The sequence below is a fragment of the Homo sapiens genome, chromosome 4, assembly GCF_000001405.40.
Source record: "Homo sapiens chromosome 4, GRCh38.p14 Primary Assembly".
In the NCBI taxonomy this organism is placed as follows: domain Eukaryota; kingdom Metazoa; phylum Chordata; class Mammalia; order Primates; family Hominidae; genus Homo; species Homo sapiens.
The window spans coordinates 71,741,076-71,766,929 of record NC_000004.12 but is presented as its reverse complement, the minus strand read 5'-3'; the positions used below and the strand labels follow the sequence as shown (position 1 = coordinate 71,766,929).

General features: G+C 36.7%; 1 protein-coding gene and 1 pseudogene across 4 annotated transcripts in view; both read left to right on the top strand.

Annotated features, from left to right (window-relative positions):
- GC (GC vitamin D binding protein) overlaps positions 1 to 25,237 on the top strand; it is a 63,828-nt gene extending 38,591 nt beyond the window's left edge. For 2 of the 4 annotated variants that reach the window (NM_001204306.1, NM_001204307.1), the window contains exons 5-14: positions 1,287 to 1,498; positions 2,994 to 3,126; positions 3,428 to 3,522; positions 8,759 to 8,888; positions 10,016 to 10,218; positions 11,823 to 11,952; positions 12,422 to 12,519; positions 14,280 to 14,412; positions 20,725 to 20,779; positions 25,060 to 25,237. In NM_001204306.1, coding sequence (NP_001191235.1) covers positions 1,287 to 1,498; positions 2,994 to 3,126; positions 3,428 to 3,522; positions 8,759 to 8,888; positions 10,016 to 10,218; positions 11,823 to 11,952; positions 12,422 to 12,519; positions 14,280 to 14,412; positions 20,725 to 20,754 — 1,164 coding nt within the window. In that variant the 3' untranslated portion in view covers positions 20,755 to 20,779; positions 25,060 to 25,237. The remainder of the gene's footprint in view (positions 1 to 1,286; positions 1,499 to 2,993; positions 3,127 to 3,427; positions 3,523 to 8,758; positions 8,889 to 10,015; positions 10,219 to 11,822; positions 11,953 to 12,421; positions 12,520 to 14,279; positions 14,413 to 20,724; positions 20,780 to 25,059) is intronic. The other 2 variants (NM_000583.4, NM_001440458.1) reach the window with 2 other exon arrangements.
- RNA5SP163 (RNA, 5S ribosomal pseudogene 163) lies at positions 7,314 to 7,412 on the top strand (annotated as a pseudogene).

Below are 25,854 nucleotides of genomic sequence, written 5' to 3'. Positions count from 1 at the left end.
ATATGGCATTGATATTTTTTGCATGATATATTTCTCTTTCTCCTGCTTGTTCAAAACATTTTTGAAAAGTGTTTTGACATTTTGTCAACCTTTTTTTACTTGAAAGAAGATAACTTTAAAAAGGCAAAAAGAAGGGTTGCCAGGGAAATGAATGGAAAGGAAAAAGATGGACTGAAAAGAGAGATAGGATGAAAAAGAGTCTAATTTTTAACTTCTCCGAATCTGATGAAAGGATGGTACGGAAGATGGTGAGAAGTTAGTTTACATAAGTAATTCATCACGTTGCCATTCTTCACTGGTAGAAAAGATTTTTAGAAATTTTACCTTAAAAAGATGACTAACTTATAAATTAAGTATAAGAATGTCAAAGTACTGTTTCCCATATAAATCCCAAAGTAATTTTTTCCATGATGACTATTTCTATTCTTTTTTCCTCTATGGTGACTCTATTTTAGATTTTAATTTCAAATATGAAATTTTTCCAAAAAGAACATTTTGATGCTACGATTGTTTTGATGGTGCTTAGTCTGCTCACAGGTATCAGTGTATCATTGTTGAAGCAGTAAATGCAGGTGCATCAGTGGTTTTCAACCTACACTGCACCTGCACATAAATCTTGGAGCTTGGGAAAAACAGATTTTCAGGCCCTATTTTTGACCTACTGAAACAGAATTTCTGTGTTGTGCAACCAAAGCATTTTTTATTTTATGCACTCTATGAGTAATTCTGATGCAAAAGCCGGTTCAAGAATCATTAGGTAAGAGAATGCAAATAATGTAGAAAGTTAAAGGAACCAGCAATCAAGAGTCTACTCATTTCACAAAGGGAGGGAAGGAGAGCTCATTTAATAAACAGAGGGAGGTCCTCCTCACTCTTATTGGGGCATTTACAGCAGAAAGCAGATGGGAGATAATGACAGAATCATCTGTGGAGCTTTTTCAAATGACCCTCTCATCCTCAGAGATGTTAATATCCCCACGGAGGAACACTAGGCTAGAGAATACAATTCTAATGGCTCTAATCAGATAAACACTGTCCATTTGTTATTCAAAGTTCTATTTTTGTTCTACTCTGAGGAGTCATTTACTAACATAAATAAGATCCTATACTTGCCGATAATCACACAACTTGTCATGTTAAAAAATCACTTCATGGAGCCCTTGGCATGAATACATAGTTATAAATGAGAATTTTCTAATTATAGGCTAAGATATTATATTAAATGGAAGTCTAAAAGCCTGGAAATTTACATATATATATGAGTTTCCTTTTTCCTTCTCCTCCAGACCTCAGCACTGTCTGCCAAGTCCTGTGAAAGTAATTCTCCATTCCCCGTTCACCCAGGCACTGCTGAGTGCTGCACCAAAGAGGGCCTGGAACGAAAGCTCTGCATGGCTGCTCTGAAACACCAGCCACAGGAATTCCCTACCTACGTGGAACCCACAAATGATGAAATCTGTGAGGCGTTCAGGAAAGATCCAAAGGAATATGCTAATCAGTGAGTGCCTTCATCATAAATAGAACTTTAGGACCTAAAGTATCAGAAATGACTCTAATCTAACCCCCTACTCTGTGGAAACACCTCTTCTACAGCAACCTGAACAAATTCTGATAACTTGACTGTCATCTGAGACAGCCCATCTTCCCTTTGGTGCTGAGTTTTGTGAATGCCTTTCTCAGAGATAAAATCAATTTTCCCAAACTCTTACTAACCCTAATCCTATTATCTGAACCAGAATCACTTGAGTATCCTGTCCACATGATATATTTTCAAATATTTGACAGCCCCTGTGGTGATTTCCCTGATGCTAAGGATCATTGCGTATGTCATATGATAGAAGCAATTTTATTGCTGTACACATTTTAAATACTTAATTTCCAGTAAAGCATAAAAAATAAACAGCTTCTCTCTTCACTCCTATACATCCCAGAAACATGTGACGTGTACGTGTAAATATGACACATCTACTACATCAAGTAAACACGTAACCTTAAAATTTTTATGGTTTAACATGCACAAGGGGCCAGATTATACACTGAATCTTTATGTTAGTCTTGGAAGGTCACAAAAATGAACAAAACTGGGGGAAAATACATTTATTAAAGTAAGAAATATATACATATTCAAAAACCAGGAGCAATGTCATTCAAAGTGGTCACAAATTGTAAAAATTAGTAGGATTGCTCATTCCTGTCAATTTTCAAAGAGGATTTTGCCCAGAATTTCAGTCCCTTTTAGATCCATAAGGACATCTATTCCCAGAAATAGAAATTATTTCTTCCAAAAAATAAGTAATCTATACATAATAATTATCTAAAGTAATAAACTGAGATAGATAATGAAAAATTAATCTAGCAATTACATTCATTTTAATTAATTCAATTAGCAGCTTAATTAACAAGCAGATACCATGGGTGATGCACCTGACCAGACATTAAGTGAATAAAGGGACAAATGGCCCCTCCTCTCACACAAACCACATAGAAATTTGTAAATCTATTTTTAATGAATGAATATACTGATTAATAGTGGCCAGTATTATAACCTTTTCTCTAAATTCTTAGTGTTTTTTAGATATTAAAACTATAAATTAATGTAACATATATCCTTTGTCCATCAAAATACTTACTAAAAAGTAGGTTTTGGGGGCCAAGCATGGTGGCTCACATCTGTAATCCTAGCACTTTGAGAGGCTGAGGTCGGAGGATCACTTGAGCCCAGGAGTTCAAGACCAACCTGGGACAATTAGTGAGACCTAATTTATACAAGAAATTAAAAAATTAGATGAGCATGGTGGCATGCACCTGTAGTCCCAGCTACTCAGGAAGCTGAAGCAGGAGGATCGCTTGAGGCCAGGAGGTTGAGACTGCAGTGAGCTATGATTATACCATGTACTCCAGCCTAGATGACAGGGCAAGACACTGTCTCAAATAAAAAAGTAGATTTTGTTTATTCACAAATTTTTTGACCAATTCTATTTTTTCCTCCACAGATTTATGTGGGAATATTCCACTAATTACGGACAAGCTCCTCTGTCACTTTTAGTCAGTTACACCAAGAGTTATCTTTCTATGGTAGGGTCCTGCTGTACCTCTGCAAGCCCAACTGTATGCTTTTTGAAAGAGGTATGTCCCATTTTACTTATTATATGTTTACGTTTTTTTCTTCTAATAGCATTCCTTTTAGATAATGGTAGAAATTGAGATTTTGCAATCAGTAAAAGTTTCTAAAATGCCACCCTTGCATCTTCTTAATTGGAAAATAAATGTAATACCTCTGGAAAAGTAATATCAATAAGTTCCTTTCACCAGTGTTCAGTTTCCTATTCATTAAAAAATCATGAAATTAATAGTCCCTATTTTTGCCATTTATACAGTATTCAATGAGTCTTGACCATATAATGAGATTCTTTCACTTGTTTTCTAGAGACTCCAGCTTAAACATTTATCACTTCTCACCACTCTGTCAAATAGAGTCTGCTCACAATATGCTGCTTATGGGGAGAAGAAATCAAGGCTCAGGTAAAGATTAAGTGCTATTGTCATATTTAGATGTTTGGTTCTGCACTGTCTATCCATAATATTAGGGTTTTTTTAAGAAGCTGTCTATATTGAAAGATATAAAATAGACTTTTCAGCTCCAATAATCTCCAAAAATCTGGCCAAATTCTCGTTTTCTTTTCTCTATACAGATTATGAAAAATAAGGAAAAAGTTTATGTCATAAAACATGAGATTTGCTTTTAATCAATCTTTTCCATATAGTTGACCACTAGAAAATATTTTTTCAGTGTTCATATTAGCATATGTTACAAACAAAAAAGCAAAACAAGAACAAAAACAAACCAAAAAAACACAACCTTTTGTTTATTACCTATTATTTGCCTTGCCCAATTTTTCTTGGAATGAGACATCTGAATTCTTACTTGTTGTATGAAGACTTGTGCTATACAGTATATATCTCTTGCCCTTCATTAATTTATTCTCATTAGTTATCTACCTTTGTATTAGTCTATTTTCACTCCGCTGATAAAGACATACCCGAAACTGGGGAATTTACAAAAGCAAGAGGTTTAATTGGACTAACAGTTCCACATGGCTGGGGAGGCCTCACAATCATGGTGGAAGGCAAGGAGGAGCAAGTCACATCTTACGTGGATGGCAGCAGGCAAAGAGAGAGCTTGTGCAGAGAAACTCCTGTTTTTAAAACGATCAGATCTCATGAAACTCATTCACTATCATGAGAACAGCACAGGAAAGACCCACCCCAATAATTTAATCACCTTCCACTGGTTTCTTCCTATGACATGTGGAAATTGTGGGAGTTATAATTCAAGATGAGATTTGTGTGGGGACACAGCCAAACCATATCATCCCACCCCTGGCACTTCCCAAATCTCATGTCCTCACATTTCAAAACTAATTATGCCTTCCCAACAGTCCCCCAAAGTCTTAACTCACTTCAGCATTAACTCAAAAGTCCACAGTACAATGTCTCATCCAAGACAAGGCAAGTCCCTTCTGCCTATGAGCCTGTAAAATCAAAAGCAAGCTAGTTACTTCCTAGATACAATGGGGGTACAGGCATTGGGTAAATGCAGCCATTAAAAATGGGAAAAATTGGCCAAAACAAAGGGGCTACAGGCCCCATGCAAGTTCAAAATCCAGTGGGGCAGTCAAATCTTAAAGGTCCAAAATGATCGCCTTTGACTCCATGTCTCATATCCAGCTCACGTTGCTGCAACAGGCATATTCCCATGGTCTTGGGCAGCTCCACCTCTGTGGCTTTGCAGGGTACAGCCTCCCTCCCAGCTGCTTTCAAAGGCTGTCATTGAGCATCTGTGGCTTTTCCAGGTGCACAGTGCAAGCTGTCAGTAGATCTACCATTCTGGGGTCTGGAGAACGGTGGCCCTCTTCTCATAGCTCCATAAGGCAGTGCCCCAGTAGGGACTCTATTTGGAGGTTCCACACCCACATTTCCCTTCTGCACTGCCATAGCAGAGGTTCTCCATGAGAGCCCTGCCCCTGCAGCAAACCTCTGCCTGGACATCCAAGTGTTTCCATACATCCTCTGAAATCTAGGTGGAAGTTCCCAAAACCCAATTCTTGACTTCTGTGCATCCGCAGGCTCAACACCACATGAAAGCTGTCAAGGCTTGAGGCTTACACTCTCTGAAGCCATGCCCCAAGCTCTACATTGGCCCCTTTCAGCCATGGTTGGAGCAGCTGGAATGCAGGGCACCAAATACCTAGACTGCACACAGCACGGGAACCCTGAGCCTGGTCCAAGAAACCACTTTTTCCTCCTAGGTCTCCAGGCCTGTGATGGGATGGGCTGCTGTGAAGACTTCTGACATGTCTTGGATACATTTTCCCCCATTGTATTGGGGATTAACATTCAGCTCCTTGTTACTTATGCAAATTTCTATAGCCAGCTTGAATTTCTCCTCAGAAAAAGGGCTTTTCTTTTCTCTCACATTGTCTGGCTGCAAATTTTCTGAACTTTTATGCTCTGCTTCCCTTTTGAAACTGAATGCCTTTAACAGCACTCAATTCACCTCTTGAATGCTTTGCTGCTTAGAAATTCCTTCTGCCAGATATCCTAAATTATTTTCCTCAAGTTCAAAGTTCCACAGATCTTCAGGGCCGGGGCAAAATGTCACCAGTCTCTTTGCTAATACATAACAAGAGTCACCTTTGCTCCAGTTCCCAAAAAGCTCCTCATTTCCATCTGAGACCACCTTAGCCTGGACCTTATTGTCCATATCGCTATTAGCATTTTGGGCAAAGCCATTCAACAAGTCTCTAGGAAGTTTCAAACTTTCCCACATTTTCCTGTCTTCTTCTGAGCCCTCCAAACTGTTCCAACCTCTGCCTGTTACCCAGTTCCAAAGTCACTTCCACATTTTCGGGTATCTTTTCAGCAGCACCGCACTCCTGGTACAAATTTACTGTATTAATCTGTTTTCATGCTGCTGATAAAGACATACCTGAGACTGGGCAATTTACAAAGAAAGAGGTTTAATTGGACTCACAGTTTCACATGGCTAGGGAGGCCTCACAATCATGGTGGAAGGCAAGGAGGAGCAAATCATATCTTACATGGATGGTCGCAGGCAAAGAGAGAGCTTGTGCAGAGAAACTCCTGTTTTCAAAACTATCAGATCTTGTGAGACTCATTCACTGTCACGGGAACAGCTCAGGAAAGACCCACCCCCATGATTCAATCACCTCCCACCAGGTTTCTCCCACCACCTGTGGGAATTGTGTAAGTTACAATTGAAGATGAGATTTGTGTGGGGACATAGCCAAACCATATCAACCTTATATTTGCAACCTTCACTTTGATTTTTGTATGACTACTGTTAACTTGTATTTTAATTTTGATAGTTTCTATGCTGCACTTCTCTCATACTTTCTCAAACATCTAGATTTGCCAACTTTTTTTCCCTCCATACTTACAGTCTCTTTGATTCCTTCTACTATCCTCACAAGTTTTTTTCCTCTAATGATAATCAAAGAACTTCTTGCCAGCAATGCATAATAAGCTTCCGTAATGGGAATAGAAACTACTTTCTTGTCCAGGCACGGTGGCTCACACCTGTAATCCCAGCACTTTGGGAGGCCAAAGCAGGTGGTTCACAAGGTCAGGAGATCGAGATCATCCTGGCTAACACGATGAAACCCCGTCTCTACTAAAAATACAAAAAAAAAAAAAAATTAGCCAGGCATGGTGGTGGGCGCCTATAGTCCCAGCTACTCAGGAGGCTGAGGCAGGAGAATGGCATGAACCTGGGAGGCAGAGCTTGCAGTAAGCCAAGATTGCACCACTGCCCTCCAGCCTGGGGCGACAGAGCGAGACTCCGTCTCAAAAAAAAAAAAAAAAAAACTAGTTTCTTTAAATATAACAGTTCCTCAGAACTACTTGAATACTCAATGACAGTTTCTCTAGTCCTTTCTTTAGTTTTCCTTTTACGTAGAGATAGTAGTTTGACAGGCAGAACAGAGGGAATTTCTAATATAAAGCCACCATATATATTACTTATATAATCATTAAGTGATACTTGTATTCATGTCCAGAAATGTACTTCAAGGAAATAGCATTTGCTATGAACAGATTTAGCTATCTGATAAGGGTTTAATATTCGGAATATATAAGGAACTTCTATAAGTCAATAACAAAAAAACAAGTAGCTTAATTAAAATAGGGGTAAAAGACTTGAATAAACAATTATTGAAACAAAATATACTAATGTCCAATAAACATATGAAAAGATGCTCAACGTCACTAACCTTAAGATACATGCAAATCAAGTCTACCGCCATACCACTCTGAACACGCCCAATCTTGTCTGATCTCAGAAGCTAAGCAGGGTCAGGCCTAGTTAGTATAATAATTGGATGGGGGAAATGCAAACCATAACTACAGTGAGGTATCACCTTATACCCATTAGGATAATCACTATCAAAAGAACAGAAATTGGCAAATGTTAGCAAAGTTGCATAGAAATTGGAACGCTTGTACACTGTTGGTAGGAATGTAAAGTGGTTCAATCATTATGGAAAACAGTATGGAAGTCCCTCAAAACATTAAAAATAGAATTAACATGTAATCCATCAATTCCACTTCTGGGTATATATCTTAAAAATTCAAAGTGGGATCTCAAAGAGATTTGCACTTCCATGTTCACTGCAGAATTATTCACAATAACCAAGAGGTGGAAGCAACCCATATGTCCATCAACAGATGAATGGATGAAGACAATGTGGTATATACATACAATGGAATATTATGTAGCCTGAAAAAAAAAGAAAATCCTGTCACGTGCTACAAGGATGAACCTTGAGGACTTTCATTATGCTAAGTGAAATATGCCAGTCTGAAAAGGACAAATACTGTACAATTCCAACTCATACGAAGTATTTAAAGTAATCAAAATCATAAAGACAGAAAATAGAAAGGTGGTTGCCAAGGAATGGGAGGATGAGTGAGGGGAAGTGGGAGCAGAGCAAATCAGTGTTTAATGAGTACAGAGTTTTAGTTTTGCATGAGAAAAATTTCTAGAGATCTGTTGCAAAGCAATGTAAATATACTTAAATACTGAATGTATACCTTAAAAATGGTCAAGATAGTAAATTTAATGTCATTTTCACCACAATTTTTTAAAATAATATTTAATCATATTCATGATATATTAGGAATATTAATATTGAAAAAATATTTAATGTTATTCCTGGTATATTAAGTGAAAAAGGCAAATATGAGAATAGTATAGCATACCATTCACACATAAAATACTGAAAGGTTACACACCCAAAATGTGAACATTTGTTAACTCTGTGGTGTAAAGCTACAGGTCTCTATAGTTTCTAAAAGAATTTATAAAACACACTTTTACAACTCTGTGAGAGGCCACAAAAATACAACATTGGCCTTATGAATAGAAAGAGACATTTGTGACTTCTTCATTGATGCTTTAGATCTAACATTTTAAAGGAGTGCTTTCACTATGTATATCTGGCAAGAAGAGAAGCTGCATTTGGGTACTGAAAATTTGGAAAGATTCATTAGGGATCTCTTGATCTTGAGTCTGTGGCTTGGGTACATAAGATCTATCGCATGGCAGATGTGCTCCCATGCATCTCTTGAGGCCAAGGAGGTGAAATTGTGATATTATTTCTCCAAATAGTGCGTTCATCACGAAACCAAGAAAACTGAGAATGTTGATAAGCTAACATATTTATTTTTAACTGTTTAGCAATCTCATAAAGTTAGCCCAAAAAGTGCCTACTGCTGATCTGGAGGATGTTTTGCCACTAGCTGAAGATATTACTAACATCCTCTCCAAATGCTGTGAGTCTGCCTCTGAAGATTGCATGGCCAAAGAGGTAAGACAAGCTTTATTATCATTATCACCATGTGCCAGGTATTGAGTGCCAAGTACTGAGTGGCAGGTACTCTTCTAAGTTCTATTTCATATGCATTATCCTAACGGATGCTTACATGTATTCTATGAAATATAAATAATTATTAACATCACTGTACAGGTGAGAAAACAGAAGATTAGTAAGGGTCAATAATTTGTTACCACACAACTAGTAGGTGGCAAAGTCCATATGCAAAGATGAGATTATCTGATTTCCAAGACCTTATGCTACTTGCACTGTATGGTATTCATTACCACATATGGTCATTTAAATTTAATTATAGTTAAAGTTAAACATATATGTTTAAGTTGAATATGATTTAAAATTCAGTTCTTCAGTTACACTAACCACATTTCAAATGCACAATGGTATTGGATAGTGCAAATACAGATCATTTTCATTATTGCGTAAAGTTCCATTAAGCGGCACTTCAACCATTATACTAGTAGACGCTACTACTGTTTTTATTATACTTTTTATAATTTGATGCCCATCTCAATTTTTTTTACCATTTTTCATTTTCATAATCCTTTAAAACTATTTAAATTTGAATAATTGCTTTAGCTGAAGGTCAGTCTCCAAGATCTTGTCAATCTCTGTAGTAATAGATACATTGTGTTGCCTTGTCTTTTTCCATTAAAAATGCATGTCTGTGTTAATAGATGCTTTTCTATAAGGATTTATAATGGCTAAATAGGACTCTGTTGCCTATATCCATGTCATGTATTACATCTATCTATCTAGACACACCATATTTTTATTTTACTAATCCTCTATTGTATTTAGGTTGTGTTGGTTTTTTTAAAATATTTTAGGCAATCGTTGCACTTAATAGCCTTATAGTTGTTGTCGTTTTATCTACAATTATTTTCTGAGTATAAATTCTTAAAAATAGAATTGTACATTTTTAAGACTTTTAGTACATATTGACAAACTGCCTTTCCAAATATTGTACCAATTTTCTTTCTGAGAGTCTTCATACTGACTTTCATAAATGTGATGCCAAAGCTTGTAAGCCTATGTAATTCTTATTTTTAATTAGACTATCAGGAAACTAACAATGCACAAACTAACCATTCGTTTTGTAGCTGCCTGAACACACAGTAAAACTCTGTGACAATTTATCCACAAAGAATTCTAAGTTTGAAGACTGTTGTCAAGAAAAAACAGCCATGGACGTTTTTGTGTGCACTTACTTCATGCCAGCTGCCCAACTCCCCGAGCTTCCAGATGTAGAGTTGCCCACAAACAAAGATGTGTGTGATCCAGGAAACACCAAAGTCATGGATAAGTAAGTAGAGGTGATGTGAAAACGTTTTCCCATTTTAAGTTCATCTGGACAAAAAGTGGGGGCCAGCCAGATGGAGGGAAGGTATGCTATCACTCATTTCAAACATAGGCAAAGTACTACCTTTATGCTTTTCATGGACTTTAAGTATTTGTTAATTAATTGTAAATGACTAAAATTTTTAAAACACCATAATCGAGTGTGATAGAAAGATTTTGGGTAGTGAGAAAGGAGCTTAGAGTTCCTAATTGTGCCTTCTCTGTTTCCTGTGCATGGCCAAAAGAAGTGACTTGATAATTCTGAACTTCAGCCTATTGTTAATTAATTTGGAAATGTTAACTCTTGCCTTACTTAGCACACAGACTGCTAATGAGAAATGCATGTAGAAATGTAAGTGAAAGTAAATGTGAAAACACATATTTGCATACAATGCTGAACACATGTAAAATATATCATGCAACCAGAAATGTTTATAATATTATTAACTAGTTTTATCATATTACTTCTGGTTCAAAGTCACAAATCAAAAGCCTAAAGTATACTAAACTTTTGGACAATAAGCATTTGATACAAATAAAAGAGATACCAAGCACAGAATATTTTTTTCTTAGCATTATCAATATTCATTTTCATTAAATTTAAAAAGAGATTTAATGCAAAGAAATGGTAAACTTTTATCCTGTTTCATCCAACTAAAAAAAAGTAAGTTAAAAATATACCATGGTTTGAATAGATGTGTATGCATAATGATGGCATAAAAATATTTCACAAATAGTTTGAAGCAGCAGGTTGAAATATCAATTAGCAATATCAGATGGTAGAAGTTACATAGGACTGAAACTTTACATTTTTCTAAATGTGTATTGCTTTTATAAGTGCATAGACAGCAGTGGGGTAAGACATAATGAAGGAATTTACACAAACCAATTTTCACAGAAAAGCCTTTTGAAGTATCCACTTGATGCTTTATACAGAGTCAATTGCATTATGCTTGCACAAAGACAGTTCCATATGCATTTGAAGTAGATATGTTTACATATAATATATTTAAATGTATATTACATGCAAAGCTTTAATTCAGTATTGACTAGTCACAATAGCAAGTATTAATAGCTTGTATCTCAATGAAAGTATTTTATAATCCAAAGCCTGTTGATTTAGAGTCAGTCTGAGCTAAATCTCTTCTTTTTAATTAAGATGCAGAAACCAGGTGCTCTGCCTTTATGATAGATATTTCACATTTTAAAATGTAGGCCAGGCACAGTGGCTCATCCATCTAATCCCAGCACTTTGGCAGGCCGAGTCAGGCGAATCACTTGAGGTCAGAAGTTCCAGACCACCCTAGCCAACATGGTGAAACCCTGTCTCCACTAAAAATACAAAACTTAGCCGGGCATGGTGGTGGGCGCCTATAATCCCAGGTACTCGGGAGGCTGAGGCATGAGAATCGCTTGAACCCAGGAGGCAGAGGTTACAGCGAGCCAAGATGGCACCACTTCACTCCAACCTGGGTGACAGAGGGAGACTCTGTCACAAAAAATAAATAAATAAATAAATAAATAAATAGGAAATATATAACACATATCTCCTTTTCTCCCTCATGCTAGGTATACATTTGAACTAAGCAGAAGGACTCATCTTCCGGAAGTATTCCTCAGTAAGGTACTTGAGCCAACCCTAAAAAGCCTTGGTGAATGCTGTGATGTTGAAGACTCAACTACCTGTTTTAATGCTAAGGTATATTTGTTGGATTTTCTTTATCAAGCACATAGATCAAGGGTTGGAAAATTATAGTTCATGGGCCAAAACTTGCTCACTGCCTACTTTTTTATGGCCTACAAACTAAGAACAGAAGAATGGTTTTACATTTTTACATTGTTGGGAAAAAAGCAAAAGAACATCAGTATCTCATGACCCATGAAAATTATTCAAAATTCAAATTTCAGTGTTCATACATACATTAACTTCCACTGGGACACAATCATCCTCATTGTTTCTGCAAAGCTTACAACTGCTTCTGTACAGAGTTGAGTAGTTGCAACAAAGGCCACATATGGCCTGCAAACCCTAAAATTATTATCCGGCCTTCTGTAGAAAATAGTTGCCAATGCTTAATGATACAATATTTGGAATTTTGATTTAATGGCTTGATGGGACAAGGTTTCAAGACAAATAATTTTGTTATGCAATTATTGTTTTCTTACAGGGCCCTCTACTAAAGAAGGAACTATCTTCTTTCATTGACAAGGGACAAGAACTATGTGCAGATTATTCAGAAAATACATTTACTGAGTACAAGAAAAAGTAAGAAACTTGTTCTGGCTGTATCCTCCAAATTTATCAATAATATTTTCATAGTACTATGAATTGAAAGCATAGTTGAACACTTAAGCTTGTCTTCAGTGAACAACAACAAAAGGAGGTTCAATTAGGAGTTTTTTAAAGTAGTCAGAATCTCATAGAGTGGAATAATAGACACTGGAGACCCCAAAAGGTGGGAGGGTAGGAGAGGGGTGAAGGATAAGGAATTCCCTATTGGATACAATGTACACTATTTGGGTGATGATTATACTAAAAACCTAGACTTCACCACTATGCCATACATCCATGTAACAAAAATGCACTTGTACCCCCTAAATCATTTTATTTTTTTAAAAGTAGTTGGAATCTAACATCTGTATAAGAAGAAGCTAAGTTTTTCTGGAGGAAACATGTCATGTGTAGCAAGTGGGTGGCCAATTAAAACAGCCATAAAAATATAGATGACGAAATCTATCTGCAGGAACTTGAGTCAAAATGGCAAAATGAGCACATAGCTTAGCAACATTCTTACCCCAGAATTTTCTGTAGATATTGCTGTACAAAATTGAGGACCTATAAAACTGCTAAAAATGTTATCTAACTTCATGGCATATTGCCTGGCAAGAAGACCCAAACTTTCAATCAAGCATACTGTCAGCTATCACCAGCATATATTCCCTATAAATTAGAAATAGAAATGTTAACTACCAATAATGTTATATAATAGTCATTTTTCTCAATTAAGAGAAGGAAAAAGCATTTCTCTATAAATAGACATTAACAGTAAAATAATAGGCCACAATAAGGTAAGAAGTGGTACTGGGTTCTTGGGGAAAGTCTCCATTGAGAAGACCATGTCATTTTTCCTAACGTTAGTAAATTTCTCAGATCCTATTCCCTCCTCCCCCCAACTTTCTTTTTTTTTTTTTGCCTCCTTTGAGTCTCTTCTTGCCTCATTTGCACCCCCCGGCAGCTCAAACCTACTTGTTTCAACAATGCTTTTATGAACTAACTGGTCCCCCTTACCCTTTTGTCCCTTCCCAGCATCCACTCTTGCCAAGCCCAACTCTAGATTAATTTGAGTCTCCTTACCTCCCATTGCCCCCCGCTGGGCTGGCAAGCATTTCCTGAAGAAAGTCATAAAACCAGGCTGAGTTGTTCATGGGAGTGGAGAGACGCCGAGATCATCGATTGTACAAATTGAAAGAATCAGGAGATATCAAGTCTTATCACCATCCTGAAAGAGAAATGGAGAGTTCGTTTTTAGTAGAGCTAAAAATAAGAGCGAAAATTTCCTTACTCCTGTATTGGTGTTTTCCAACATAGTGAGTTGAGAAGTAGATAAATTGAGGGTGAAATTATATAAATTATGAGAGGAAAAAAAGGCATTAAGCTGGTATGAGGTCCTGTAAAGGAAATATTCTTTAAGGAATTTGAAATTTAAAACTGAAGAGAAGGTGAAAGGTTAGGATAAAATAGAAGAGGTACTCTTCCATTTTGAAATAATGAGCAAATGAAAGAAGACTGGACTTCCAATTCAGCAGCGATTTGTATGTTTATTTTTATGATCTCGAAGAGGCATGTTTCACTTTCTGATCTCAAATTGACTATTCTATACCACAGGTATAGAATTTTCTTGAGACAGGCAAGTATTTCTATTTTCATTTTTATTGTAAAAGATCTGAAATGGCTATTATTTTGCATTAGAAATTTGTATAAAATAAATACATGTAGTAAGACCTTACATTTAAATGGTTTTTCAGACTGGCAGAGCGACTAAAAGCAAAATTGCCTGATGCCACACCCACGGAACTGGCAAAGCTGGTTAACAAGCACTCAGACTTTGCCTCCAACTGCTGTTCCATAAACTCACCTCCTCTTTACTGTGATTCAGAGGTAGGAAAATGTAACCCTCCACTTAACATGGCAGAATCTTTTAAGAACGTATGCACTCCAATCTACTCATTTCTTTCCTGTTATTGAGATGCCATTATGTGACAGGCTTTTCCTGGTGTTATTGTAACTTGGCTGTCTTTGCAATGAAAGTAAGAAACATAACTGATTTCATGCTATGCTCATTTAAAAGCAAGTTGAGGTAGTTGTAAAACTTAGGAAATTTTATACTTTTTTTAAGAAACAAAAGAGTCTGTGAACACAGGCAACAAAGTATGTGTAGTGTTTTACAAATTGTGAGTTGTAACCTAGTAACAGCCTATTTAAATGAAAAAGAGAAGAATAAGAATACAGTGAGAACATCAGAGTTCATTACCTTCACATAGTGAAGGTAAATTGTATTTCATATATCTGTATGTGTGTTTATGTAGATACATACATATGCATATATAGGCAGGTAGATTGATAAAAATAAATACTTTAGAAAAATGGGGTCATATCATACCTTCTATTAATATGTTAATTATAAAAATATTATTTAACTTTGTTTTAATATGACATAAGAAAAAAATGCAACTGAAGAATTTCTAAAGGTCACATAAATGTTTCATTACTATAAGAGTTATTTTCTAAAAACTAAAAAATGATTTTAAAGAATATTAAAATTTTAGTCATTTTTTATTACGAATTTCTTTTTTAGACACTATCAATTGTCTCCAAACTCTGAAAGCTAAAGATATTAGAAGTCCTATATATCTTCCAGTTTCCCTCCCTACTCCCCTCAATTTTGGATAGTTCTTGGATTCATCTTTCTTTAAATGTCCCTTCCCCTCCTCCCTGTCTCCCCTTTTTCTTCCTTCCCCTCCCGCTTCCTGGTTCAGGTCCAATATTGTTAACAGTAAAATAACCCCTTCCCCTATTCCCCTCCTCCTTTCTCTCTTTCCCCTTCTCTCCCATAAATGTATTTGCATAATTGCCAGATCATTTATTTTTTAATTTGTGCAAAACACCAGCAGTTCTGGCCAAACCTTTTTGTTTTCTCTGATAGTATTAATAGATGAATTAGTGTTTATCTAATCACCACATCTGAGGCCTATTGGTTTTCTCCTATAAACCACAGTGTTAGGTTGGTATCTTGTATTCTGCCCATCTTTATATAGACTGAAGGTGTGAGAGAGGGGAGGAGACCTCAGGTAGGTTGTGTGGGCCCATTGTTAGTAGACCTGAGCTATGCTTCGACTTCTGAGATTTCAAGTGTCTTATGCTAAGATTTCTTTCACCAAGTCAGCATCTGCCCTATTTTCACGGTGAGGGGTGTATTTTGCTGGCCTTTTTCAGAAAATGTCAGCCCATACGTTCACATCCTCCATTTTACCTGTTACTCTCCAGCAAGCATTTCATTTTTTTAGAAGAGTCAAAAGATAAAAACAGCACTTCATTTCACTTTACTGCTTATTTGGAGACATTAGTAATAACTCCAAGAATTGTGTTGTCTTGCCCACTCTATTTCTGAAATATAGAGGCAGGGTTAGGAACAATTCTATGCCATACCAAATGATACTTAGGTTAAATGATTTCATGCCAATTAGAATTAGAAGCCCTTAAACCCGTTTTTTTTTTGTTTGTTTGTTTTTTGGAGATGAAGTCCCGTTCTGTCACCCAGGCTGGAGTGCAGTGGTGAGATCTTGGCTCACTGAAAACTTCACCTCCTGGGATCAAGTGATTCTCCTGCCTCAGCCTCCCGAGTAGCTGGTATTATAGGTGCCCACCACCACGCCCAGCTAATTTTTGTATTTTTGGTAGAGACAGGGTTTCACCATGTTGGCCAGGCTGATCTGGAACTCCTGACCTCAAGTGATCCACCCGCCTCAGCCTCCCAAAGTGCTGAGATTACAGGTGTGAGCCACTGCGCCCGGCCAGAAGGCCCTTTCTATAAGTGAAATAATTTAAGAATTTACCTGAAGTTTTGTTCATTTATCAGCCACGAAAGCAATAAAGCCCAGTTTCTATTAGACTGCATTTAAAAATACCCAAGAACTTAATTTTTAAAAAAGCAAGTCACGAAAGTATAAATGTTCAAAGAAAACTATAAAGATCATCTAGTGTAATTTCTCACTCAGTTAATTCCTTCTAGAGGTGCATTCAGCCTCCATTTAAATTTCTATAGTCAATTTATCTACTCCTAAGAGTAGAAATGGAAATGGCCTATTTCATTGCCAGGTAGCTGCATTATGAGAACATTCTTCTATAAATTAAGCTGTGATATTCCCTTTGTAATTTCTCCTGCAATCACCCTGGCTTTCTCTATCAACTAGAAAATGTCTATTCTCTGTTCGCAATAGCAGCTCTTTTATACTTGAAGTGACTTTTTAAAAATTAAGCTGTGTAAAGTATTTTTTTAAAGTCTTGGGCTATGCATTCCAAATTTCTTAATATCCATATTTTAGTAAAGTTTTATTTGTTTTGTTATGTTTTGTTTTGTTTTATTTTATTGTACAGTGCCTAAGAAAAAAGTCTTAGTTTGACAAATGGAGCTACATCTTTTTCTAATTTCTTCCTTATAACCTTAGGGATTCTGGTTTCTTTTCTAATTTCCATATTTACACTCTGGTCCCAAACCTATTTGCTAATCTTGTTTGTAACAATTTATAAAGTCAGAATTCCAGATGAAGAGAGTACGGTAGAATAAAAGCCTTTTCTTTAAATTCTCCTGACAAATATGCCATCTTAATCTTTCATTAAAATTCAAACTACTTAAGATTCTCAACATAAAAACAGAAGAAGCTGGATTGTCAGAATATTTTGGTCATTAAAACATTTTTAGCATAAAATAATTAATTAAATTGAACAGTTCTTTCTTTTCATACCAAGTTGCTTTTAGTAATCTAAATTTAGTTCCAATTTAGGTGGCCTTAACCTAGAAAAATAAAATCACCTTACATAGAAGTTGTTTGCTACCAGAAAAATTTTCTCTGAGAGTCTGTTATTACGAAAGAAGAAGAAAACAGTCTAAATGTCTTTTAGATTCTATAAGAAATATCACTTTTGAAACCTTTCCCTGTCCCTTTGTTATCTGTCTATACAGATATGCACTGTCCTGCCTGACACCATACAAGACAAACTGAGCTTTAAGCGCAAATTCATGCTTCCTAAAAGCCCCTGGTTTTTCATTTCTTTGAGTTGGTTTTCAATATAACATATTGCCATTCAAATCATTACAATGATGAGAAGACAGGTTTGTAGCTCTCTCACTTCTTGCTTTATCGACAGTAAATTTATAGCAGCTGAGTAGCCTTTCAGTAATTGCTAAAGTAGAGTGCGATGAATGGAGTTGTTGAGATACTTGTGCACATTTGATTATTCAGAGTACACAGAGATTAAATCCTCTGCTATTTCAATTAGCCCTCTGATTGCCTTTGTAAACTGATCTCATAGCTAGGTAGGCAAGCTCACCCCTCCTTTCTGACTTTACTTTAGTGCAACATCTGTTTGAACAGCATTCTCTTTAATTTCCAATGCCTAACGTGAATGTCCCATTTGTCCTATAATATTTGGATCCTAATTTGTGAGATCTCCTTGTCATACATTTGCTTGAAAAAACTTTTCCTTAAAAGTAATATCCATCTACTCCTTTCACTGCAAGTCACTTATATCCAGGGATCAGTCTCTACTTGTCATTCCAAATACACTTGGCACAACTACTGGAAGACTGGGAAAAGGGGCTTCTGAACCATACTTAGTGTTTCATTACATGGGTATCTACCCCTATCCTCACCCAATCTTGAAATGACCAGGAAATAGAACAATCAATGTCATTTTCTTTTGGCTTTACCATGGCACTCTTAGAAGTGGTTCATTTGTTTATGCCAAAAAAGACCCATTTGCCTACAGAAAAACCTATAGTTACAAAATTAGACTTGAAATCTTCTTTTCTCTTTCTACCATCATTCAGGCAGGGCATCCCTTTGGGCTCTTCTGAGAACTCATTACTATGCTTCCTTTAAAATGTTTCAACAGACTGCTAGTGAGCATCAGATATGATTTCCCAAAGTATTCCAAAAGTCATTGTAATATGCTGGAATTGATCACTAAAATCTTAAAAACACAGAGACAAATACAAATAGCCAAGTGGAAGCCGGGCAAAGAGGAGACTGACAAGTAGAGTGATATACTGTCTACCCCCCACCACCTGTCTTTCTTGTGTCAGGAAAAACTAGTATAGTCACTGTAGTTTGTTTTATCTCTCAGTATAACTTGATTTTATAATCTTCAGTGTCATAGCTATCATTGATTAAGCCATTGCTATTTGTTAAGCAGAAATATTAATAGCCTGGCATGTATGTATTTATAGAATAACCCAAAACAATTCTAGATGTTAATTAATATTTTAATTCCCCCTTTTACAGATGGGTTGAATGAAACTTACAGAGGTTATATGATGTTAGAAAAATCTAAATTTATTCTGTATTAGTCTGTTACTCTCCCTCAATGTCCTTGTCATAGACGTCAGCCCTAACTTAGCTAGTCATGACAAAAGCAAACTATTGATAGAAGACTATTGACTGAAAATCCAAAATTATTTTTAAGTAGCAAAAATGATACCAGGTTGGTAATATCGCTGTGAATTTTATCCATCTCACTTCCTTGGACTCTTCCTCCATTAGACATACTCTCTTCTTTTGTGTCAACATTTTTGCCAGCTCTGTCTAATTTGTATTAAAGTTACTCTTCTTCTTATCTCAAAAAATAATAAATAAGGCACTTTAGACACCTCTCTAGCTATATTTCTTTCTCCTCCCTTACAGCCAAGATTCTTGCAAGAATACCATATACTCCAACTCCTCACACCTCTTATTAATTCCTCAACCCTTTGCAGTCTGGCTTTTGATGGTACCATATGACTGTCAACAAAGGCACGCCAACAATATCCTTCTTGTTAAATCTAATAAACATTTTTCAATTCTTACCAGATTTCTCCACAAAACAGTTGATACCCATAAGTATACCTTCCTTCTTGAAACAATTTACTTAGCACCTGTAGTATTATTTTCTACTTTTTGTCTTTCTATGATTCCTCTCTTCTTGTTCTATTTCATATTGTCCTCTTCCTTTACCTGTCTCTTAAATTTGTTTCCAGAGTTTTTTCCTTGTTCTTCATTTCCATGGCACTACATTTTCTCAACTGTTTTCATCAATGCTTATGCTTTTAATCTCCAAATCTCTACCTCCAACCAAGATCTCTCCCTCAGCATTAGGATTTTTAATCCAACTGTCTAGGACTCTCTTCTCCCCCAATATCTTGTCCCATAAGAAATTGAAAATCAACATGGACAAAATATTTTTCCTATAAACTGCTCTTATGTTTTTTGAGTTTATGAATATTATCATCATTTACCCATTGCCCCACGATGAAAATTTAGTGACTCTTTTTATTTCTCCTTCTCTTTTTCCATATGCACCAAATAAAATTCCAAATCCCATCAATTCTAATTCTGCAACATCTCTCAATCTCCCACCCACATTCTTCTACATTCTTGGTATTTAGTTTCAGGCAATCTTTCACCTGGTTTATAGCCTGTCCATTGGTCTCCTCCCACCTCCAGTCTGCCCACAGTGCTTCACATTCCAATCCCATCTCTATACTGAGGTCAAATCAACCTTTTTAAAACACAAAAATGGTTAATACTCTTCTCTAATAGCTCTCATTGCCTCCAAATTAAAGTAGTTTTTTTTTTTTTTTTTTTTTTTACAAAATAGAGGTATTTTGGACCTTGATTTCTTCTCCAAGTAGTGACTTGCTATCATGACTTGTTGTGCCTCCTGCTTGGGTTCTCCTGAACTACTTGCAGTTTTCCAAACACATTAAACTTGCTTTTACCTCAAGGCCTTTGCACATAATGACTCCACCCGCTTGCCCTATTTCTCATCAGGCTTGCCGTGGCTGAATCATTCATCAGGCTTTAGAGTTCAAGTTAGAAGACATCTGCTCCGCTGAGAATTCTTCCCTGGCACTCAAACTTCTCTGTTGTCCCACAACATTCTGTTTGCACCCAATAATTAGCACTTATTAAACTCTACTGCCATTTTTTCTTGTCTACTTTTCCCAGCAGACTCTAAGCCCTTCAAGGGCAGAGATGATGTAAAGCTAAATAAATGCAAAGGGTGGCTAATAAAAAACTGCAATGTAACATTGCATCTTGGCAAGAATCCGCTCCCCTAACCAAGGTTTCAAGATTTTGTATACCTTCTGCATGATCTAGTAGCCTACAAATGAAATACTTCATAAGTTATATAACATTCTTTTTTCATTATCAGATTGATGCTGAATTGAAGAATATCCTGTAGTCCTGAAGCATGTTTATTAACTTTGGTAAGTATATTTTATAAATGCAGGACCAACGGATCCAGCATTGTAGGATGTATTTTAAATATCAAAGAATGGGAAGGAGACTTTAATAAATTTATTCTTATCTGTTCAAACTCATTTTACAGATGAGAATATTAAGCACCGAGAAAAGTTAAAGAGCTTACACTTATACAAGAGCAGCCAATTTCTGATATATGTAAGACTAGAATCCAGGTTTACTGGTCCCCTGCCTTGTGCTTCATCCATCATAATCTCACATGTAACATAATGATACCGTAAAGAACATTTAAAGGATTCTGATGCACTTCAATAGGAAGAACTCTGAGTTTAAAGACAGGGCTCATCAAGTCTTAAAAATAACACAGCAAGGACCTTAGGAGGAAAGGGACATTCTTATTCAAATGAAAACAATACTGTTGAAATATTATTACTTGCTTTTTTCAGTCACTATATTTTCACCTATTAAAAAATGCCAGATGAAGATATTAAGAACATAAAATAGTTTATTCCAACGTAAGTTCACATCTTAAACTGAAGAGCACCCCCGCCGAACTCTGCACATTTCAACAACAATATTTTCTCTCCAGATTCAATTGTATTTATGCTAAAGAAATTACACCTGAGACTTTTGATGCAAACTTGTTTGGATCTCAGTTCTTAGCTGAACTGAGGCTTTTCAATAATGTCAACGTTTATTTTGCTGACTTACTGACAACTCTGCCCAAAATAATGTGGAAACAAAAGCCTTCCAATCCATTCATTAATAACATTAAATCATTTCACCATATTCAGCTTTTCAACTATTATTTAAATCCTCTGAAGCTGTAAAAAAGAAAATTAACAGTCTGAGAACCAGTACAAGGGGGATGGTCAAGAAAACTTATATTTGAAATCACCCAACCTGAATTAGAATCCCCACTCTAACTATCTGTCTGTGAATTTGAGCAAGTTATCTATCCTGTCTAAAGATGAGTTTCCTTTCATGTAAAATGAAAATTTCCATATCTCCCTCACAGTGTTGTTACAATGATTGAGGTGATGTATATCAAATATTTAAAAAGCAGTAAAAATGAATATTAGCAGTAATACTAGCAAAGTTGTTGCACTGATGCTCCTACTACTACTGGTTGAATCTAAACTAAAAAGTTTTCCTGCCCATATATTTTTGTGCTCTGGTATACAAATATCATGTCCCAACGATAAAGTAAGTTCTCTAAATAATTTTCCAAGGAATAAAAATCAAAATGCAAGTTATTTGAAGTGTAAATATTCTAGAGTTAAAATAGTTTCTGATCTCTGTTGCTGCTAAATTATTACATCCTCCCCCCATTTGAATGAATCTTTCCTTTATCTCAATCCCCATATAATAATCTCCAAAGAGTTAAAATCCCAATATGCAACAGTGACCTCACCTCTCATCCTTCAAGATTTCTTAAGCTTTAATTAAGAGTCAGGGTTATTTGGAAAGCTATATGATAACTTTGATTTTGAATATGTTTTTCACTGGACTGTGTTATTATTCAGAACTCAGAGTGCATTTCCTTAGTGTTGTATGTTTTTAGGCTTTGGGAAAACTAATTAAAATAGGAGAAGATATCCTAAGGTAAGTAAGGAGGAAGTAATAATTTGATGGATTTCAAGAGATTTCTTTTCAGAACAAATGTCAGAAGTATCTTTTTTTTTTTTTTTTTTTTTGAGATGGAGTCTCGCTCTGTCTCCCAGGCTGGAGTGCAGTGGCGCGATCTCGGCTCGCTGCAAGCACCGCCTCCTGGGTTCACGCCATTCTCCTGCCTCAGCCTCCCGAGGAGCTGGGGCTACAGGCGCCCGCCACCACGCCCAGCTAATTTGGGTTTTTTTTTTTTTTTTTGTATTTTTAGTAGAGATGGGGTTTCACTGTGTTAGCCAGGATGGCCTCTATCTCCTGACCTCGTGATCCGCCCGCCTCGGCCTCCTGAAGTGCTGGGATTACAGGCATGAGCCACTGTGCCTGGCCCAGAAGTATTTTTGATGCTAACTCAATCAAGAGATAAACTTGGTTTGTCAGTGACAAGCTAATGAAGATTCTAATATACTGATTCTTCTGGTTCATGGTCATTATCTTCATCTGATAAGATGAAGAAATGAAATTTCTTATCATTTCTCCTGTGTTAGTCTACATTTTTCTCTGGCCTTTAATTAATCCTTTGATTTCTGTACCACTAAATTGTTTGGCTACCCAAATACATTTTGATCATCTGGATGGATTACTCACATATTCACATATTCCTTCCTAAAATTATTCACATATCCCTTCCATGGATTTTGGTAACATGCATTGAGTGTTTTGAGCTCAATTTTATCTACTGCTTGTTTATCACCATTGCATTCTGCAATGATGAAGGCCTACCAATGTTCAATTATTTCAGGAATAGTTACATGGCTTTGAAAAAGCAAATTATACCTTGTTCACAAAGTTATAGGTCTGAGGTACTTGATATCCAGAAATAATGAGACCACAACTTTACCACTTATCTTAGGTTTCCAGAACACAACCAACTCATTGCAGTTCCTGGGTTCCAGGGAGAATTTTGTAGTTGTATTGGACAATTATGAAGTCATCCAACTATCAGCAGCATTGCCCCCAAAATAACACAATCCTAGTCATGAGTTGCTCTAAATCCAGGTCTTAACGTAATGATTTCAGAGTAAGTGCTGAGTACTTTCCCTCAGATAGATCAGTCTTTTCATCATATATTAAATTATTCAAGTAGAAAATATCCATTTTCTTCAATGATTTTTCCCTTGTTGTAACAGGTGATCTGCAGAAGTGGCACATTGTTTAGAGTGAAGCAGTTCCTAAAACCATTAAGCCAACTTTGGTTGGCTATGTGTTTCATTTCCATTTAAGCCTACCCATCTCTAGTTAGAGATTTGACTCACTCATAGAAGTTGAAGCCTTTTGTCTCAAGGTATTCCGATCCCTAGTAATACCTACAATTCATGTCTTCCAGTCAACAGTTTCACGCTATTTCACTCTCAATTAGAGTCTTATTAAAAACTTCAGTTCTCATCTTGACAGTTATTGGTCTCCTTGATCAATCTTTTTCTTCAAGCCTTCAAGCTCCAAATTGATTGTGGCCACACTTGCATGCACTTTTGGAGACAGAATCTCTGTCTCTTACCCCCCACCCTGCCCACACCAAGACGGAATCTCACTCTGTCGCCCAGTCTGGAGTGCAGTGGCACAATCTGGGCTCACCGCAAGCTCCGCCTCCCAGGTTCACACCATTCTCCTGCCTCAGCCACCCGAGGAGCTGGGACTACAGTTGCCCGCCACCACGCCTGGCTAATTTTTTGTATTTTTAGTAGAGACGGGGTTTCACCATGTTAGCCAGGATGGTCTCCATCTTCTGACCTTGTGATCCACCCACCTCGGCCTCCCAAAGTGCTGGGATTACAGGCGTGAGCCACCATGCCCAGCAAATCTCTGTCTCTTAATTATCTCACAAAGCCAGGTATTTTTTATTGTTAGCTTTGGAAGCAAGTAGTAGTCCCTCTGGGTTGCCAAAAACATAAATGAATTGGCTCACAGTGTAGAATCAGATTGGGTGAAAATATTTTAGATACCAGAATCACACCCAGCACAGAGAGTTGCTCACACTGTGAGAGAAACATAGGAACTGAGGCTGTGAGGGAACAGATTCGTGTCCCTTATTGCATCCTCACTCCAAAGCATAAACTCGTTGAAGACAATGAAACATGGAATTTTTTACACCGTGCAAATAGAACTGTGACATAACTATATTATATTGTCTTGGAAGAGGGAAAAAATTAAGGGAGACGAATTGGCCCTAATACAAAGTAGAAGATGACTTGATAAAAATTCACACTTATGTTTTGCTAAAACTACTCAACTATTGTCTCAATTCCATGATGATTGGGGGCCTCATTATGCCACTGGTTGACAGTTTTGCCTTGGCCATAATTGTTATTACCATAGAGCAAAAAGTCACATTCATCACCAGTTAAAAATATAATTAAAAAAACACTGCACAATGTACAATGTACCCTGGTGTATGGCATATAAAGCCATCACTACTGGTATTTGGACTGTCTTAACATTTTTTTCTTATTCTGGACCTATGAGATGGGCCATAGTGGATATATGGGTCATCCTAGACAGAGTCATTTTTGGCATAAATATTAAAATAGCATGAGTTTATATGCGTCTGTTGAGCAATATTATGGTTGTTGCCCATTAGCTCTGTTTTTCTAACATAAAATTCATTTCATTATTCTCATAGACCAGAGTTGGAGCCACCCAGGGGAATGATCTCTGATGACCTAACCTAAGCAAAACCACTGAGCTTCTGGGAAGACAACTAGGATACTTTCTACTTTTTCTAGCTACAATATCTTCATACAATGACAAGTATGATGATTTGCTATCAAAATAAATTGAAATATAATGCAAACCATAAATATGACTGAGAATTATGTGGCTCTTCACAATGTTGATCTTCAGAACTATTCCTGTGTCTTTCACAAAAATGCTACAGTAGGCAATCTCATAAGGCCTGTTTTTGTCTAGATCTCTGCTGTTTCCTTCTAAAAGACTCAACATTAAGCATCCACTTTACAATTCCCAGTATGCTAAACTCCATTCCCTGATTGATTCTCAGGCTTAGTAGGTACCATTAAGAAAAAGTTAGGCTGGGCACAGAGTCTCACGCCTGTAACCCCAGCACTTTGGGAGGCCAAGGCGGGCAGATCACAAGATCAGGAGTTCGAGACCAGCCTGGCCAATATGGTGAAACCCTGTCTCTACTAAAAATACAAAAATTAGCCGGATGTGGTGGCATGTGCCTGTAGTTCCAGCTACTCGGGAGGCTGAGGCAGGATAATTGCTTGAACCTGGGAGGTGGAGGTTATAGTGAGGGAGATCACGCTACTGCACGCCAGCCTAGGCAACAGAGCAAGACTCTGTCTCAAAAAAAGAAAAGAAAAGAAAAAGTTAGACAGCCTTCCACTATAAAGCCTATAATATCTCACTTTTTAAAAACTAACAGCCAAAAACCAACAACAGTAACAAAAATACT